Source organism: Homo sapiens, unplaced genomic scaffold (assembly GCF_000001405.40).
Source record: "Homo sapiens unplaced genomic scaffold, GRCh38.p14 Primary Assembly HSCHRUN_RANDOM_CTG34".
NCBI classification, from domain to species: domain Eukaryota; kingdom Metazoa; phylum Chordata; class Mammalia; order Primates; family Hominidae; genus Homo; species Homo sapiens.
Genome location: NT_187510.1, coordinates 14,218 through 31,303, shown reverse-complemented (window position 1 = coordinate 31,303; position 17,086 = coordinate 14,218). Strand labels below are relative to the sequence as shown.

The 17,086-nt window shown below is 42.5% G+C and overlaps 1 long non-coding RNA gene across 1 annotated transcript; it reads right to left on the bottom strand.

Moving 5' to 3' along the window:
- Positions 1–3,584: 3,584 nt before the first annotated feature.
- On the bottom strand, positions 3,585–9,730 carry LOC105379565 (uncharacterized). The gene is made up of 2 exons (XR_951449.3): positions 4,561–9,730; positions 3,585–3,967 (listed from the first exon to the last, which is right to left on the bottom strand). It is a non-coding gene; the product is annotated as an uncharacterized LOC105379565 (long non-coding RNA).
- Between the last annotated feature and the right edge of the window lie 7,356 nt (positions 9,731–17,086).

Below are 17,086 nucleotides of genomic sequence, written 5' to 3'. Positions count from 1 at the left end.
TATTATTATAAAAGTCATTTTGGCCTCCTGTTGCCACTGAAAAAGTCTCAGGATGTCCCAGGGGACTTTGGCCCACACTTTGAGAATCAATGTTCAGGCTCCTTTCTGAGCTGATTATGTAGCTGAGCACGCTGAACGTCATGTGATTGAGAACCTGCCCCTTCCAGCCTTCATCTCTTCCATTAGCTTCCCTAAACCATTCATTTTTTAGGGCATTATTTTCTATCAAATACAAACACCAGTGGAAGACAGAACACATGAAGCCATTAGTAGTTTAATGCCTTAATGTGAATAAATTTAATTCATTTCAATTTGAGAGTCCATGGGGTCACAAAGGAGATGAAAGAGAAAGTACAAGAGCCAGACATAAGGTTGGAAAGAACCCTGTCCCCAGTGAAAGGCCAATTTTTTCTTTCACAGCATCGTCTTGGAACAACCTGCTTTCTGGATTCTTAGCTCACAAGTTTGAAAAGGAGCCATTCCCTGATCTATTTTAATTGCTTATCTTCAAAAACTGTCTGAACTACGGTACCCTGTGGCTACTACCTTCCAATTTAGGACTCAGGTTTCCAGGAAAAGAAAAGAGTTACAACTACTAATAAAAGTCAGTCAAAGTAACTGCTCCTCTTTGAAAGTTTCAGCTCTTATTTTAGATATGGGGGTTCACATGCAGGTGTGTTACATGGGTGTATTACACCCAGCTAGTGAGTATCGTACCCCTGGCTAGTTTTTCAATGCATGCCCCTCCCTTCTTTGCCCCGCGCAGTCCACAGCGCCTGTTGTTCCCATGTGTACGTCCATGTGTGCTCAATGCATAGCTTGGAGCTCCCACCTATAACTGAGAACATGCAGTGTGTAAACCCCACTAATTTCTATGAAAAAGTATTTCTGTTGATAACCCTGCAGGAAGCTCTTTATTAATGTCTTCATCCTTTAAACCTACTTAGCCCTATGCTGCTTTAGTCACCTGTACTTTTTTTAAAAACTGTTTTTTTCTCTCATTCTGACTTACTTATCCTTACATACATTGCTATTTCTTCATTCCTAAGGAAGTACGCATTCGATTTAAGCATCTGTGCTGAGATAAAATTAAATTCTAGTCTTTTTTAATGGGGCAAAATGGAAATATAATCTCAGGTAATGCTTTCCAGTTCAGCTTACTGCTGGTTTTTGCAGATGGAATTATAAACATACTTAATCAGAGGGAAATTCCAATACACTTTAGCCACAGGATATTCGTGCCTTTGCATGGGAAGAATTGATCTCTCCTCAAGCTAGCTGCAACCTGCGTCTTCTGAGGGAAGAGCTGTCTTCACCTGCGTGGGATGAATTTGAGGGATCACTGGCCTTGCCGTCTGAGAGTGCGGTCCCTGAGCTGGGAGGATTCTGCTGAGATTAGGTCATGCGATCAGCCTGAGGTTGCGACCATGGGGGTGAGCTCAAATTATAGTTTTGGTACCATGCCTGAGTTTAGTCGGCAAAAGTAATTCACACCAGAGGGGGAATGTGCAAGAGGTCAATAACAGAATGAGAAATCAGGGGTAGGGAAAATGCAGGTTGTGAAAGACGATGAAGTGATGATTAGAGACAGGCTAGGGTGGCCTACCAGTGGTGAAGTCCTGGGAGTGAAGAAGACGTTTGCTTCATAAATAAAGAAAGTCTTCTGTGCTGCAGGAGAATCAACTGTTGAGAGGGGTGAACGGATGCAGAGTAGTTTCCCTGTTACCACGTCCAAACAGACGTTTATTTGCTGGTAACTGCCATTTCAAAAATACCACCGGAATACTCACTATTTAAATGTTTTTATTACACCACAACTTTGGAAAACATCTCTAAGCCAGGCATATAAGCCAAGGTTACATAGTATGTCAGGAAAGGTATAACCATTAAATTATTTAACTGTGTTTTGTCTATGATTTTTAAGAAAAAAATCTATATTTTCTGCGAGTAGTGAGCAATACTTATCAATTGGTTAGTCACTTGTGTCTGCGAGTTTCATCACCAGCATGATCGGAAAGGTATCTCCCCTCAGCTTCATTTGCAGAGAGGCCTGAGTCGCTCTCAGCCTCCCCCATTTCTGCGCTGCAGCTTCTGGGGAGCCCCTGACACCACAGACCCCAGAGCAGCCCCTGCCGACAGCGTGCCTGCTCCGGACAATCCCGAGCTAAGGATCTGTTAGTATTAACCGGGATTTTCTGTCTCGTATAACGCATGGAGCAGTGTTTCTTAAAGAATGAATTTGTGAAGAAAATGCACAGCTGCCCCAAACACTGTAGGCACTGAACGAGCACTCATGGCTTCTCCCTTTGCAGAAATCTCTGTGGACTCTCCTGTTCGTGGGAGGAGTGCCTTTTTCTGGGGTGTAGTGGCTTCCTCTCCATGCTCACCTCGCACACTCCCGGCTCTGCCTCTGCCCTCGGGCCACCGGTCCCCCAGTCGTGCCACGTCCCTGCTGCCTGAGGGGATGCTTGCACGGCTCCCTCTGCCGGGACTTTCCACCTAGATGCTCGGCCTTGACCCCTCACTCACATACCCTTTTCTTCACAACTCTTTCCTGACTCTCGACACCATCCTACACTCACAGAGTACTGCACGCCTTTCTGACATAGCCGTGTGTCGGTGTGCTGTGTGAAGTGTTTTTGTGTATATGACTACTTGCATGTTACAGCAGTGTGTCAGTGTGCTGTGTGAAGTGTTTTCGTGTATCTATCTACGTGTAATAGCGTGTCAGTGTGCTGTGTGAAGTGTTTTTGTGTATATGACTATTTGTTATAGCAGCGTGTCAGTGTGCTGTGTGAAGTGTTTTCATGTGTATATGACTATTTGCATGTTATAGCCATGTGTCGCTGTGCTGTGTGAAGTGTTTTCATGTGTATATGACTATTTGCATGTTATAGCAGTGTGTCAGTGTGCTGTGTGAAGTGTTTTCATGTGTATATGACTATTTGCATGTTATAGCAGGGTGTCAGTGTGCTTTCATGTGTATATGACTATTTGCATGTTATAGCAGGGTGTCAGGGTGCTGTGTGAAGTATTTTCATGTGTATATGACTATTTGCATGTTACAGCAGTGTCAGTGTGCTGTGTGAAGTGTTTTCGTGTATCTATCTACGTGTAATAGCGTGTCAGTGTGCTGTGTGAAGTGTTTTTGTGTATATGACTATTTGTTATAGCAGCGTGTCAGTGTGCTGTGTGTTTTCATGTGTATATGACTATTTGCGTGTTATAGCCATGTGTCGCTGTGCTGTGTGAAGTGTTTTCATGTGTATATGACTATTTGCATGTTATAGCAGGGTGTCAGGGTGCTGTGTGAAGTGTTTTCATGTGTATATGACTATTTGCATGTTACAGCAGTGTGTCAGTCTGCTGTGTGAAGTGTTTTGTTTATGTGACTATTTGCATGTTACAGCAGTGTCTGTGTTGTGTGAAGTGTTTTGGTGTATATGACTATTTGCATGTTTTCTGCACACTAGATGGAGTGCAGAGTGTGTTGCCTGTTTTTCTCCACCGCTCCATCCTCAGTGCCTGCTACGGTGTTGGACACACAGTAGGGGTTCAGTAAATGCTAATGAACAGTTGATTAAATGAGCAAAAACCTTTATTGAATACCTACCATGTTCCAGACATGGCTAACTGATGAGAATTTACCAATTACATGCTTGCTGCCTTCAGGGAGCTCGACCTCACAAGACAGACTGTCACGTAGAGACAACTGCTACACAACATGGGAAGAACTGCTATAGAGATGTAAAGATGTAAAGACCCAAAATGAAGAAGCCAGAACACATGAACACGAAACCAGCCAACCAACAAACACAAGCAGCATGGAGCATAGAGTCTGGGGACCAACTGCAGGGTGCTGAGGAATGCAGGTGGAGGCAGAGTGGAAATCACCTGAGTTTCCATCAGGCAGAGTTGCGCTTGAATTTGAGTTCTGGCATTTGCTGAGCCTCTCTGATTCTGCCTTCTGTAAAATAGGAGTAATAATATTTATTTATATCTACCGTACAGGCAATTGTGAGATTTACTTAAGACATACTTTGTCCATTTTTCTGTTGCTTATAACAGAATACCTGAAACTAGGTGACTTATTTTTAAAAAGCTAATTTCTTAGAGTTATGAAGGCTCAGAAATCCAAGGATGGGGGTCTGCAGCTGGTGAGGGCCTTCTTGCTGATGGGAAATCAGAAAAGCCCTAAGGTGGTTCAGAGAACCACATGGCAAGGAGGCCGAGAATGCTAGCGTGTTAGCTCAGATCTCTCTTCTTCTTATAAGGCCACCAGTTCCTCTCCCATGATAACCCATTTATCCATTAACCCATTAGTTCTTTAATCCATGAGTAGATTGATTCATAAGGGGATAACCCCTGTGATCCAATCACCACTTAAAGGATGCCCCTCTCAATACTCCCATATCGGGGACAGTTGCAACACAAACAAATTAAGATGGCCTATTAGACACCCTAAATCTTACATCTTAAGGTGTTCTGTGATGTTGCAGTTCAACCCCCTCTCATTCCTCTCTACTCTTTTAGCAGTTACAAACAAACAAACTCACTCACCAAAGAAAACACCAAACAAACATACATCCAATAGTATTGTGTCCGGAATTGGTGGGTTCTTGGTCTAACTGACTTCAAGAATGAAGCCACGGACGCTTGCGGTGAGTGTTACAGTTCCTAAAGATGGTGTGTCCAGAGTTTGTTCATTCAGATGTTCAGATGGGTCCAGAGTTTCTTCCTTCTGGTGGGTTTGTGGTCTAACTGGCTTCAGGAATGAAGCTGCAGACCTTCACGGTGTTACAGCTCATAAAGATAGCGCAGACCCAAAGAGTGAGCAGCAGCTGCCAAAGACGGTGCAGACCCAAAGAGTGAGCAGCAGCAGGATTTATTGCCAAAGGCAAAAGAACAAAGCTTCCACAATCTGGAAGAGGACCCTAGCCGGTTGCCACTGCTAGCTCGGGCAGCCTGCTTTTATTCCCTTATCTGGCCCCACCCACATCCTCTCATTGGCTCATTTTAGAGAGAGCTGATTGGTCCATTTTACAGAAAGCTGATTGGGCCGTTTTACAGATAGCTGATTGGTCCATTTTGACAGAGCGCTGATTGGTGCATTTACAAACCTTTCGCTAGACACAGAGCGCTGATTGGTGCATTTACAATCCTTTAGCTAGACAGGAAAGTTCTCCAAGTCCCCACCAGATTAGCTAGACACGGAGCGCTGATTGATGCGGTTACAAACCTCTAGCTAAACAGAAAAGTTCTCCAAGTCCCCACCCGACACAGAAGCCCAGCTGGCTTCACCTCTCAATGACACTTGCCCTGAGGCTTTGCGGCACCTAGCCTGGGTATTCCGGCAGCCCAGAGGGGGCAGCCCAGTAGGCACCGGCCGGCCACACCGAGTGTGGGCTCCTGAGCCTGCACCCACCCGGAACCAGCACTGGCCCGTGAGCATGCACAGCCCCGCTCCCACCTGCACCTCTCCCTCCACACCTGGTGGGGAGCAGAGGGAGCCGCCGGGCCTCCGCCAGCCCCAGAGAAGGGCCCCCACAGCACAGCGGTGGGCTGAAGGGCTCCTGGAGCACCGCCAGAGCAGTTGCTGAGAGCCAGTGAGGGCTGCTAGCACGTTGTCACCTCTCAGTATTAACAATACAAATACTTTTTTGTCTTATTTGTCCTTTGACTTATTTATAACCAACAGAATGTAGAGAAAGTGATGTTGATGTTGAATGACTCTGGAGGCTAGACCAGAAAATGTTGAAGAGTATCAGAATATACAACCCTAATATATGTTACTTTTGCATAAATTTTATTTTTTAAATTTTTAATTTTTATTTTAAGCTGAAGGCAATTGAGAAAAAGAAGATGCGAGAAGAGCTGTTTACCCTTCCTCTATCTGCTTAAAAGCAAGGAATAAATTTCCATTATAAAGGTGTCCCCTTGTTCTCATACCAAGAAGAGGAGACAGCATCAAGATTACTCTACATAAAGAAACCTAACTAAATAACCCTTTTCTATAATAGTTTCTCCCATGTATTTACCTTCCTACAATTTAATGCCCCTAGAAGCCCAAGCCCCTTTTCTTTGGTTGCTTCCCCACAATTTATCGTACTTTGTTAAAATGGTAGGTAAGCTCCTAAGTGTAACCACTTCTTTGGATTTTTTTAGTTCTTTCTCTGCAGTTCCCATGCATATAAAAATATTAACAACAAATAAAATTTGTATGCTCTTCATTCGTTGGTCCTTCTTTTGTCAGTTTAATTCACAAATTAAGCTGCAGAACCTAAGAGGATGGAGGAAAAGTTTTCCTTTCTTACAAGATCATGTGGCATCTGCTTCACTTACTGAGGAGCCCCGAGCCACCATGTATAAAATCTGAATACCCGAAGACCCCCGTACTGTGAGGAAGCCCGACCACATGGAGAGGCCACATGAAGGTTCTCAAATCAGAACCCCAGCTGAGGTCCCAGCCTACAACCAGTATCAACCACCAGACATGTGAGTAATGATGTTTCCAGTTGATTCCAACCAACAGCCTTTGGGTCACCTCCAGCCTTTGGATCTTTGCATCTGAAATGCCACACATGACAGAGCGGATACAAGCATTTCTGCTGTGTCCTGTCCAAGTCTCTGACTGATAGAATCTGGGCTTGTTCTAGGCACCTGAGTCTTGAGGTTGTTTGTTACACAGCCTCAGTAACTTGAACAACAGTTATGCAACACTTGAGCTAGACCTTGAAAGATGAATAGGGATTTTTGTCTAGCAAAACTGTTTGGAAAAGGCTTAATATTTTAGGAGAAAAGTTAAAAGGTAAGTGTGGTTAACACATGGGTTGTGGGAGAGAATCAGGAGATGAGATGAAAAAAGTTGATGTAAGAAAGTGTGCTGTATGGTTTAGTGAAAATTATATATTTGTTCATTAGCATAGGCAATTTTCTTCCAGACCGCTGGCTTTGAAATGATGTATTTTTAAAATTGCAAAGTTTATACCATAGAATTTCTGGAGGCTTCTGAAATTTCAATTGGAGATAAAACAGGACTTCAAAATGTAACTTCTCCTAAATTATGAGCCATGGTTTAACTGATGAGTAATTTTTAGTTTTATTGTTGGTTAAAAACACACTGTTATTCCCATGAGTGCTTGCATCCAGTTTTAGCATGTGTGTGTGTGTTTCTTTTATTTTTTGTTTTGTTTTGTTTTGTTTTGTTTTGTTTGCGGTGGGCGGGTTGGTATCAGAGTTATGAATGAGAAGCATTCTTATCAGAATATACTGGATACTAATACATTTTGCGTGTAATTTTCTACAGAGGTATTGATTTTAATCAACTTTCAAGATGAAGCACCACATTTGTCAAGGCAGAAGACCCAAATGTGCAATTTTTTCTTAGGGGAAAACTGGCTATAATGAATGTGCTGAAATATATTAGTTATCTATTAACCTCAACACGCAAGAAAGCACTAGATCATTAGTTTGCCTGGTAAGGGAAAAAACAGGGGCTGCAGCCTGCCCAGCTACAGAAGAAAGTGGAATCAGCAGAACAAGTGGCCTGTGAAGATGCCAGCTTGTGAGAAATGCCTGGCTGACTGTGAACAGGGATATTATTAAATGGATGCATATGATGCATAGCGTAATTATACCACTTATGGCAGAAAAACATCACCATTTTATCAAATGCTCCACTGTGTACATCAAAGATCATGGTATCATCTATCTCTGGGATGCCATGTGAGCTTTGCAGTTCTGGAAGGGCTTCGAGTCAAGTTTTGATTAATTCTTGATGGTTTTATTTGATTATAGAAGTAGAGCTTGAATGTGTGTGTGCGTTTTCCCTTTTTCTTGTAAGAACTGACAATCTTGATTAAATTTCCCTTTTAGGAGTGGGAAGCAAGAAGCAAAGTAATTGTCACCACTTCTTGGAGAAGAATGGCTTATAGTGTTTTGAACATATCGTCTCAAAATAACCTCTTCGGAAGATTAGTGGAAAGAAGCAAAACTGTGAAGACCTTGGTTCACAGTAGCTGTTGATGTTTCTTTTTTTCATTTTGGTATTGATTATAATCGCTTCTTCATAAAGCTCAGATGCAGGGTTTATTTCCAGTTCTTTCACCGTGCTTCTTACCTCAGAGTCAAACCATTGCTATACTCTCCACATAGTTGGTTTCCAGTGTTTAAATTGCATGCGTGAGGTGCTCAGGTTTGTGACATTGCTTTACATATATTACTGTAAAAAAAAAACATAACCCCAAATCTAGAGTATATAAGGCTTTGTGCTAAGCAAGCATGGAAAAGAGTTACTTATGGCTTATATCCATGTGTGGACTATGATTGATAGAATTTCCCTTGCAATTGCCAAAGAGAAGTCTACATGGTCTTTGAAGAAACAAATTACCTATGACCCCATGTATTTGCATTTGTGCTCTTCCTAACTATATAGTAGTCTGAATTTAGTCCCCCAACGTAGGGGGATGTTTTAATGGACAAGCACTTAATTCATTTCAAGGTTTTGAGGATTTATCTTATAAGCACTTACTAAGCAGTGGTTATGTCCCAAGGCCAGGGCTGCACCCTGGAGACTCAGGGAGGCACAATACTTGATTTCATGGATCTCATAATCTAGTGCTATGGAAACATTAAAATATTAAAACCACAGTGGAGAAGAGCAGTGGATAGGTCTTAGGGAAGAAGACTTGTATGAAAGGTGATGCCTGAAATCATACTTAGTCATCTTTACATAGGACAATTTTTATGGAAGAATGAAATCTTCAGGATTGAATGATATTTTCATTTTAGCAAACTGGCCATCTCTTTTCTTTGAGCTTATAAACATGGTTGAATGTGTCAAGTAGCGAGACAAGAAAAAAATACCTTTGAGTGACCTTGCTTTATTATGTGAAAAATGACAAACTGGCAGGCAGGAAAGATACATGGCTTACCATGTATCTTTCAATTTTTGGGATGTACTAAAAAATTCAATGCAGTTACCACATAGAAGCAAGAGCTAGAGAAGTTCTGAGAGAATTTTTAATCTTTAGGTCAGACAGCAAGGATGTGAGGCGGTGAAGTTAAATTACACTGAGTCACATTGACGTTGACTAGTCTGATAGATACAGAAACACACAATTACCTTCACTCACAGAGTTTCCTAGGGCTGCAGGAACAAAGCGCCATAAGCTCGGTGGCTCAAAACATTTGGAAATGGTTCTCTCACAGAGTCACAGCCACGGAAGCTCCAAGTCTGAACTCAAGGTGTTGGCAGGGCTGTGTTCCCTCTGGAGGCCCTACGGAGGCCCCTTCCTCGTCTCCAGCTTCTGGTGGCTTCAAGTGTCCCGTAGTTTGTGACAGCAACACTCCAATCTCTGCCTCTGTCTTCACATGGCCTTCTCTGTGCATCTGTGTGTGTCAAATCTTTGTCTGTCTTTGTCTTATAAGGACACTTATTGGATTTAGGGACCACATGGATAATCCAAGATAACCTCATTTCAAAACCCTTAATTTTATAACATTGGCAAGACTTTGTTTGTTTGTTTGTTTGTTTTGCAAATAAGGCCATAGTCACAGGTTCCGGATGGATATATCATTTGAGGGGAGACAATTCAACTCACTATATACACAAACACATGTGTGTATCTATATAGCTGTATAATTGACACCATGAAATCATTAATAAAAACACTGCCCTTTTTTGAGACAGAGTCTCGCTCTGTCGCCCAGGCTGGAGTGCAGTGGCGCGATCTCGGCTCACTGCAATCTCCACCTCCCGGATTCAAGCAATTCTCCTGCCTCAGCCTCCCAAGTAGCTGGGATTACAAGCGCCCGCCACCACGCCTGGCTAATTTTTGTATTTTTAGTAGAGACGGGGTTTCACCATGTTGGCCAGGCTGGTCTCAATCTCTTGACCTGGTGATCCACCTGCCTTGGCCTCCCAAAGTGCTGGGATTACAGATGTAAGCTACCCCTCCCATATAAAACACTGCCCTTTCTATAGAAAAACTGGTCAAGTACTGGACAGTTTACTACAAAAGAAACAGTAAGTAGATAAAAAATGAAACCTAGGTTCAAAAGCATGAATAATGAATCTTGATTTTAATGATGGTTTCATCAGTGTATGCATATGTCCAAACTTATCAAATTGTACACTAAATATGTGTAGTTTTTTATATTGATTTTACCTCAACAAAGCTATTATAAATACAAATAATAAAAAGTGCAAATAAATTGACAAGATACAAATATATTTAAATATCAAAATGATAGAGATTAAAAAACTGTGCTGCTGGCCAGGTGCGGTGGCTCACGCCTGTAATTCCAGCACTTTGGGAGGCCAAAGCGGGTGGATCACCTGAGGTCAGGAGTTTGAGACCAGCCTGGCCAACATGGTGAAACCACATCTCTACTAAAAATACAAAAATTAGCTGGGCATGATGGTGCACGCCTGTGATCCCAACTACTTGGGAGGCTGAGGCAGGAGAATCGCTTGAACCTGGGAGGCAGAAGTTGCAGTGAGCTGAGATCAGGCCGCTGTACTCCAGCCTGGGCAACAGAATGAGGCTCCATCTCAAAAAAACGACAGACAAACAAAAAACAGTGCTGTTGAGTGTGCATTGAGACAGGCATTTTCCAACACTGCCTTTCTGGAAGCAGGGAGGAGAGGCACAGAAATTTCAGCAAGGGTAAAGTCTTCATCCTGCAACCATATTTCTAGGAGTCTAGATAATTCGATATACAGGTAAAGTCACAGCATTTATTTAATCATGTTAATTAGTTATGTAACATATAATAAAATAATATTGTATGTTAATACATAATATAAATATATTATGCTAATACATTGATATATACACACTTAGTCCTTCTATCTGTTACTAAAGGGAGCTCACGTGGCACCAACAAGGAAACACACACTTAGTCCTTCTATCTGTTACTAAAGCGAGCTCACGTGACATCAACAAGGAAACACACTTAGTCCTTCTATCTGTTACTAAAGGGAGTTCACGTGACATCAGCAAGGAAACACAGTCTTATCTGTTACTAAAGCGAGCTCACGCGACATCAACAAGGAAACACAGTTAGTCCTTCTATCTGTTACTAAAGGGAGCTCACGAGACATCAACAAGGAAACACAGTTAGTCCTTCTATCTGTTACTAAAGGGAGCTCACGTGACATCAACAAGGAAACACACTTAGTCCTTCCATCTGTTACTACAGGGAGCTCATGTGACATCAGCAAGGAAACACAGTCCTTCTATCTATTACTAAACGGAGCTCACGTGACATCAGCAAGGAAACACAGTACTATCTGTTACTAAAGGGAGCTCACGTGACATCAAAAACGAAACACACTTAGTCCTTCTATCTGTTACTAAAGGGAGCTCACGCGACATCAACAAGGAAACACAGTCCTTCTATCTGTTACTAAAGGGAGCTCACGTGACATCAACAAGGAAACAAACTTAGTCCTTCTATCCGTTACTAAAGTGAGCTCATGTGACATCAACAAGGAAACACAGTTAGTCCTTCTATCTGTTACTAAGCAAGCTCACCTGACAACAACAAGAAAATACACACTTAGTCCTTTGTATCTGTTACTCAAGCGAGCTCATGACATCAACAAGGAAACACACACTTACTCCTTCTGTTACTAAAGGGAGCTCATGTGACATCAACAAGGAAACACACAGTTAGTCCTTCTATCTGTTGCTAAAGGGAGCTCATGTGACATCAACAAGGAAACACAGTTTGTCCTTCTATCTGTTATTAAAGGGAGCCCACGCGACATCAACAAGGAAACACAATCAGTCCTTCTATCTGTTACTAAAGGGAGCTCACGTGACATCAGCCAGGAAACACACTTAGTCCTTCTATCTGTTACTAAAGGGAGTTCACATGACATCAGCAAGGAAACACAGCCCTTCTATCTGTTACTAAAGGGAGCTCACGCGACATCAACAAGGAAACACAGTCCTTCTATCTGTTACTAAAGCGAGCTCACATGACATCAACAAGGAAACACACTTAGTCCTTCTATCTGTTACTAAAGGGAGTTCACGTGACATCAGCAAGGAAACACAGTTAGTCCTTCTATCTGTTACTAAAGGGAGCTCACGAGACATCAACAAGGAAACACAGTTAGTCCTTCTATCTGTTACTAAAGGGAGCTCAAGTGACATCAACAAGGAAACACACTTAGTCCTTCCATCTGTTACTAAAGGGAGCTCACGTGACATCAGCAAGGAAACACAGTCCTTCTATCTATTACTAAACGGAGCTCACGTGACATCAGCAAGGAAACACAGTCCTATCTGTTACTAAAGGGAGCTCACGTGACATCAAAAATGAAACACACTTAGTCCTTCTATCTGTTACTAAAGGGAGCTCACGTGACATCAACAAGGAAACACAGTCCTTCTATCTGTTACTAAAGGGAGCTCACGTGACATCAACAAGGAAACAAACTTAGTCCTTCTATCCGTTACTAAAGTGAGCTCACGTGACATCAGCAAGGAAACACACTTAGTCCTTCTATCTGTTACTAAAACGAGCTCACCCGACATCAACAAGGAAACATAGTCCTTCTATCTGTTACTAAAGGGGGCTCAGGCAACATCAACAAGGAAACACAGTTAGTCCTTCTATCTGTTACTAAAGGGGGCTCACGTGACATCAACAAGGAAACACACTTAGTCCTTCTATCTGTTACTGAAGGGAGCTCACGCGGCATCAACAAGGAAACACACTTAGTCCTTCTATCTGTTACTAAAGGGAGCTCACGTGACATCAGCAAGGAAACACACTTAGTCCTTCTATCTGTTACTAAAGCGAGCTCACGCGACATCAAAAAGGAAGCACAATCCTTCTATCTGTTACTAAAGGGAGCTCACGCAACATCAACAAGGAAACAAAGTTAGTCCTTCTATCTGTTAATAAAGGGTGCTCACGTGACATCAAGAAGGAAACACAGTTAGTCCTTCTATCTGTTACTAAAGGGAGCTCACGCGGTATCAACAAGGAAACACACTTAGTCCTTCTATCTGTTAGTAAAGGGAGCTCACGTGGCATCAACAAGGAAACACAGGTAGTCCTTCTATCTGTTACTAAAGCGAGCTCACGCGACATCAACAAGGAAACATAGTCCTTCTATCTGTTACTAAAGGGAGCTCAGGCAACATCAACAAGGAAACACAGTTAGTCCTTCTATCTGCTACTAAAGGGAGCTCACGTGACATCAACAAGGAAACACACTTAGTCCTTCTATCTGTTACGAAAGGGGGCTGACGTGACATCAACAAGGAAACACACTTAGTCCTTCTATCTGTTACTAAAGCGAGCTCATGCGACATCAACAAGGAAACACACTTAGTCCTTCTATCTGTTAGTAAAGCGAGCTCACGTGACATCAACAAGGAAACACAGTTAGTCCTTCTCTCTGTTACTAAAGCGGGCTCACGTGACATCAAAAAGGAAACACACTTAGTCCTTCTATCTGTTACTAAAGCGAGCTCACGTGACATCAACAAGGAAACACAGTCCTTGTATCTGTTACTAAAGGGAGCTCACGTAACATCAACAAGGAAACACAGTTAGTCCTTCTATCTGGTACTAAAGCAAGCTCACCTGACATCAACAAGAAAATACACACTTAGTCCTTTGTATCTGTTACTCAAGCGAGCTCATGACATCAACAAGGAAACACACACTTACTCCCTCTGTTACTAAAGGGAGCTCATGTGACATCAACAATGAAACACACAGTTAGTCCTTCTATCTGTTGCTAAAGGGAGCTCACGTGACATCAACAAGGAAACACATTTAGTCCTTCTATCTGTTACTAAAGCGAGCTCACGTGACATCAGCAAGGAAACACACTTAGTCCTTCTATCTGTTACTAAAGCGAGCTCACATGACATCAACAAGGAAACACACTTAGTCCTTCTATCTGTTACTAAAGGGAGCTCACGCGACATCAACAAGGAAACACACTCAGTCCTTCTATCTGTTACTAAAGGGAGTTCACGTGACCTCAGCAAGGAAACACAGTCTTATCTGTTACTAAAGTGAGCTCACATGACATCAACAAGGAAATAGACTTAGTCCTTCTATCTGTTGCTAAAGGGGGCTCACGTGACTTCAACAAGGAAACACAGTTAGTCCTTCTATCTGTTACTAAAGCGAGCTCACATGACATCAACAAGGAAACACAGTCCTTCTATCTGTTACTAAAGGGGGCTCACGTGGCATCAACAAGGAAACACAGTTAGTCCTTCTATCTGTTACTAAAGCGAGCTCACGCGACATCAACAAGGAAACACACTTAGTCCTTCTATCTGTTACTAAAGGGAGCTCACGTGGCATCAACAAGGAAACACAGTTAGTCCTTCTATCTGTTACTAAAGCGAGCTCACGCGACATCAACAAGGAAACACACTTAGTCCTTCTATCTGTTACTAAAGCGAGCTCACGCGACATCAACAGGGAAACACAGTTAGTCCTTGTATCTGTTACTAAAGCGAGCTCATGCGACATTGACAAGGAAACACAGTCTTATCTGTTACTAAAGGGAGCTCACGTGGCATCACCAAGGAAACACAGTTAGTCCTTCTATCTTTTACTAAAGCGAGCTCACGTGACATCAACAAGGAAACACACTTAGACCTTCTATCTGTTACTAAAGCGAGCTCACGTGACATCAACAAGGAAACACACTTAGTCCTTCTATCTGTTACTAAATCGAGCTCACGCGACATCAACAAGGAAACACAGTCCTTCTTCCTGTTACTAAAGGGGGCTCACGTGACATCAACAAGGAAACACACTTAGACCTTCTATCTGTTACTAAAGCGAGCTCATGTGACATCAACAAGGAAACACACTTAGTCCTTCTATCTGTTACTAAAGTGAGCTCACGCGACATCAACAAGGAAACACAGTCCTTCTATCTGTTACTAAAGGGGGCTCACGTGACATCAACAAGGATACACACTTAGTCCTTCTATCTGTTACTAAAGCGAGCTCATGCGACATCAACAAGGAAACACAGTCCTTCTATCTGTTACTAACGCGAACTCACGTGATATCAACAAGGAAACACACTTAGTCCTTCTATCTGTTACTAAAGCGAGCTCACGCGACATCAGCAAGGAAACACAGTCCTTCTATCTGTTACTAAAGGGGGCTCATGTGACATCAACAAGGAAACACACTTAGTTCTTCTATCTGTTACTAAAGCGAGCTCATGTGACATCAACAAGGAAACACACTTAGTCCTTCTATCTGTTACTAATGCGAGCTCACGCGACATCAACAAGGAAACACAGTCCTTCTATCTGTTACTAAAGGGGGCTCACGTGACATGAACAAGGAAACACACTTAGTCCTGCTATCTGTTACTAAAGCGAGCTCATGCGACATCAACAAGGAAACACAGTCCTTCTATCTGTTACTAAAGCGAGCTCACGTGACATCAACAAGGAAACACACTTAGTCCTTCTATCTGTTACTAAAGTGAGCTCATGTGACATCAACAAGGAAACACAGTCCTTCTATCTGTTACTAAAGGGGGCTCATGTGACATCAACAAGGAAACACACTTAGTCCTATCTGTTACTAAAGCGAGCTCATGTGACATCAACAAGGAAACACACTTAGTCCTTCTATCTGTTACTAAAGGGAGTTCACGTGACCTCAGCAAGGAAACACAGTCTTATCTGTTACTAAAGTGAGCTCACGTGACATCAACAAGGAAATAGACTTAGTCCTTCTATCTGTTACTAAAGGGGGCTCACGTGACTTCAACAAGGAAACACAGTTAGTCCTTCTATCTGTTACTAAAGCAAGCTCACATGACATCAACAAGGAAACAGAGTCCTTCTATCTGTTACTAAAGGGGGCTCACGTGGCATCAACAAGGAAACACACTTAGTCCTTCTATCTGTTACTAAAGGGAGCTCACGTGGCATCAACAAGGAAACACAGTTAGTCCTTCTATCTGTTACTAAAGCGAGCTCACGCGACATCAACAAGGAAACACACTTAGTCCTTCTATCTCTTACTAAAGCGAGCTCACGCGACATCAACAGGGAAACACAGTTAGTCCTTGTATCTGTTACTAAAGCGAGCTCATGCGACATCGACAAGGAAACACAGTCTTATCTGTTACTAAAGGGAGCTCACGTGGCATAAACAAGGAAACACAGTTAGTCCTTCTATCTTTTACTAAAGCGAGCTCACGTGACATCAACAAGGAATCACACTTAGTCCTTCTATCTGTTACTAAAGCGAGCTCACATGACATCAACAAGGAAACACACTTAGACCTTCTATCTGTTACTAAAGCGAGCTCACGTGACATCAACAAGGAAACACACTTAGTCCTTCTATCTGTTACTAAATCGAGCTCACGCGACATCAACAAGGAAACACAGTCCTTCTTTCTGTTACTAAAGGGGGCTCACGTGACATCAACAAGGAAACACACTTAGTCCTTCTATCTGTTACTAAAGCGAGCTCATGTGACATCAACAAGGAAACACACTTAGTCCTTCTATCTGTTACTAAAGTGAGCTCACGCGACATCAACAAGGAAACACAGTCCTTCTATCTGTTACTAAAGGGGGCTCACGTGACATCAACAAGGATACACACTTAGTCCTTCTGTTACTAAAGCGAGCTCATGCGACATCAACAAGGAAACACAGTCCTTCTATCTGTTACTAACGCGAACTCACGTGATATCAACAAGGAAACACACTTAGTCCTTCTATCTGTTACTAAAGCGAGCTCACGCGACATCAGCAAGGAAACACAGTCCTTCTATCTGTTACTAAAGGGGGCTCATGTGACATCAACAAGGAAACACACTTAGTCCTATCTGTTACTAAAGCGAGCTCATGTGACATCAACAAGGAAACACACTTAGTCCTTCTATCTGTTACTAAAGCGAGCTCACGCGATATCAACAAGGAAACACAGTCCTTCTATCTGTTACTAAAGGGGGCTCACGTGACATGAACAAGGAAACACACTTAGTCCTTCTATCTGTTACTAAAGGGAGCTCACGTGACATCAGCAAGAAAACACAGTCCTTCTATCT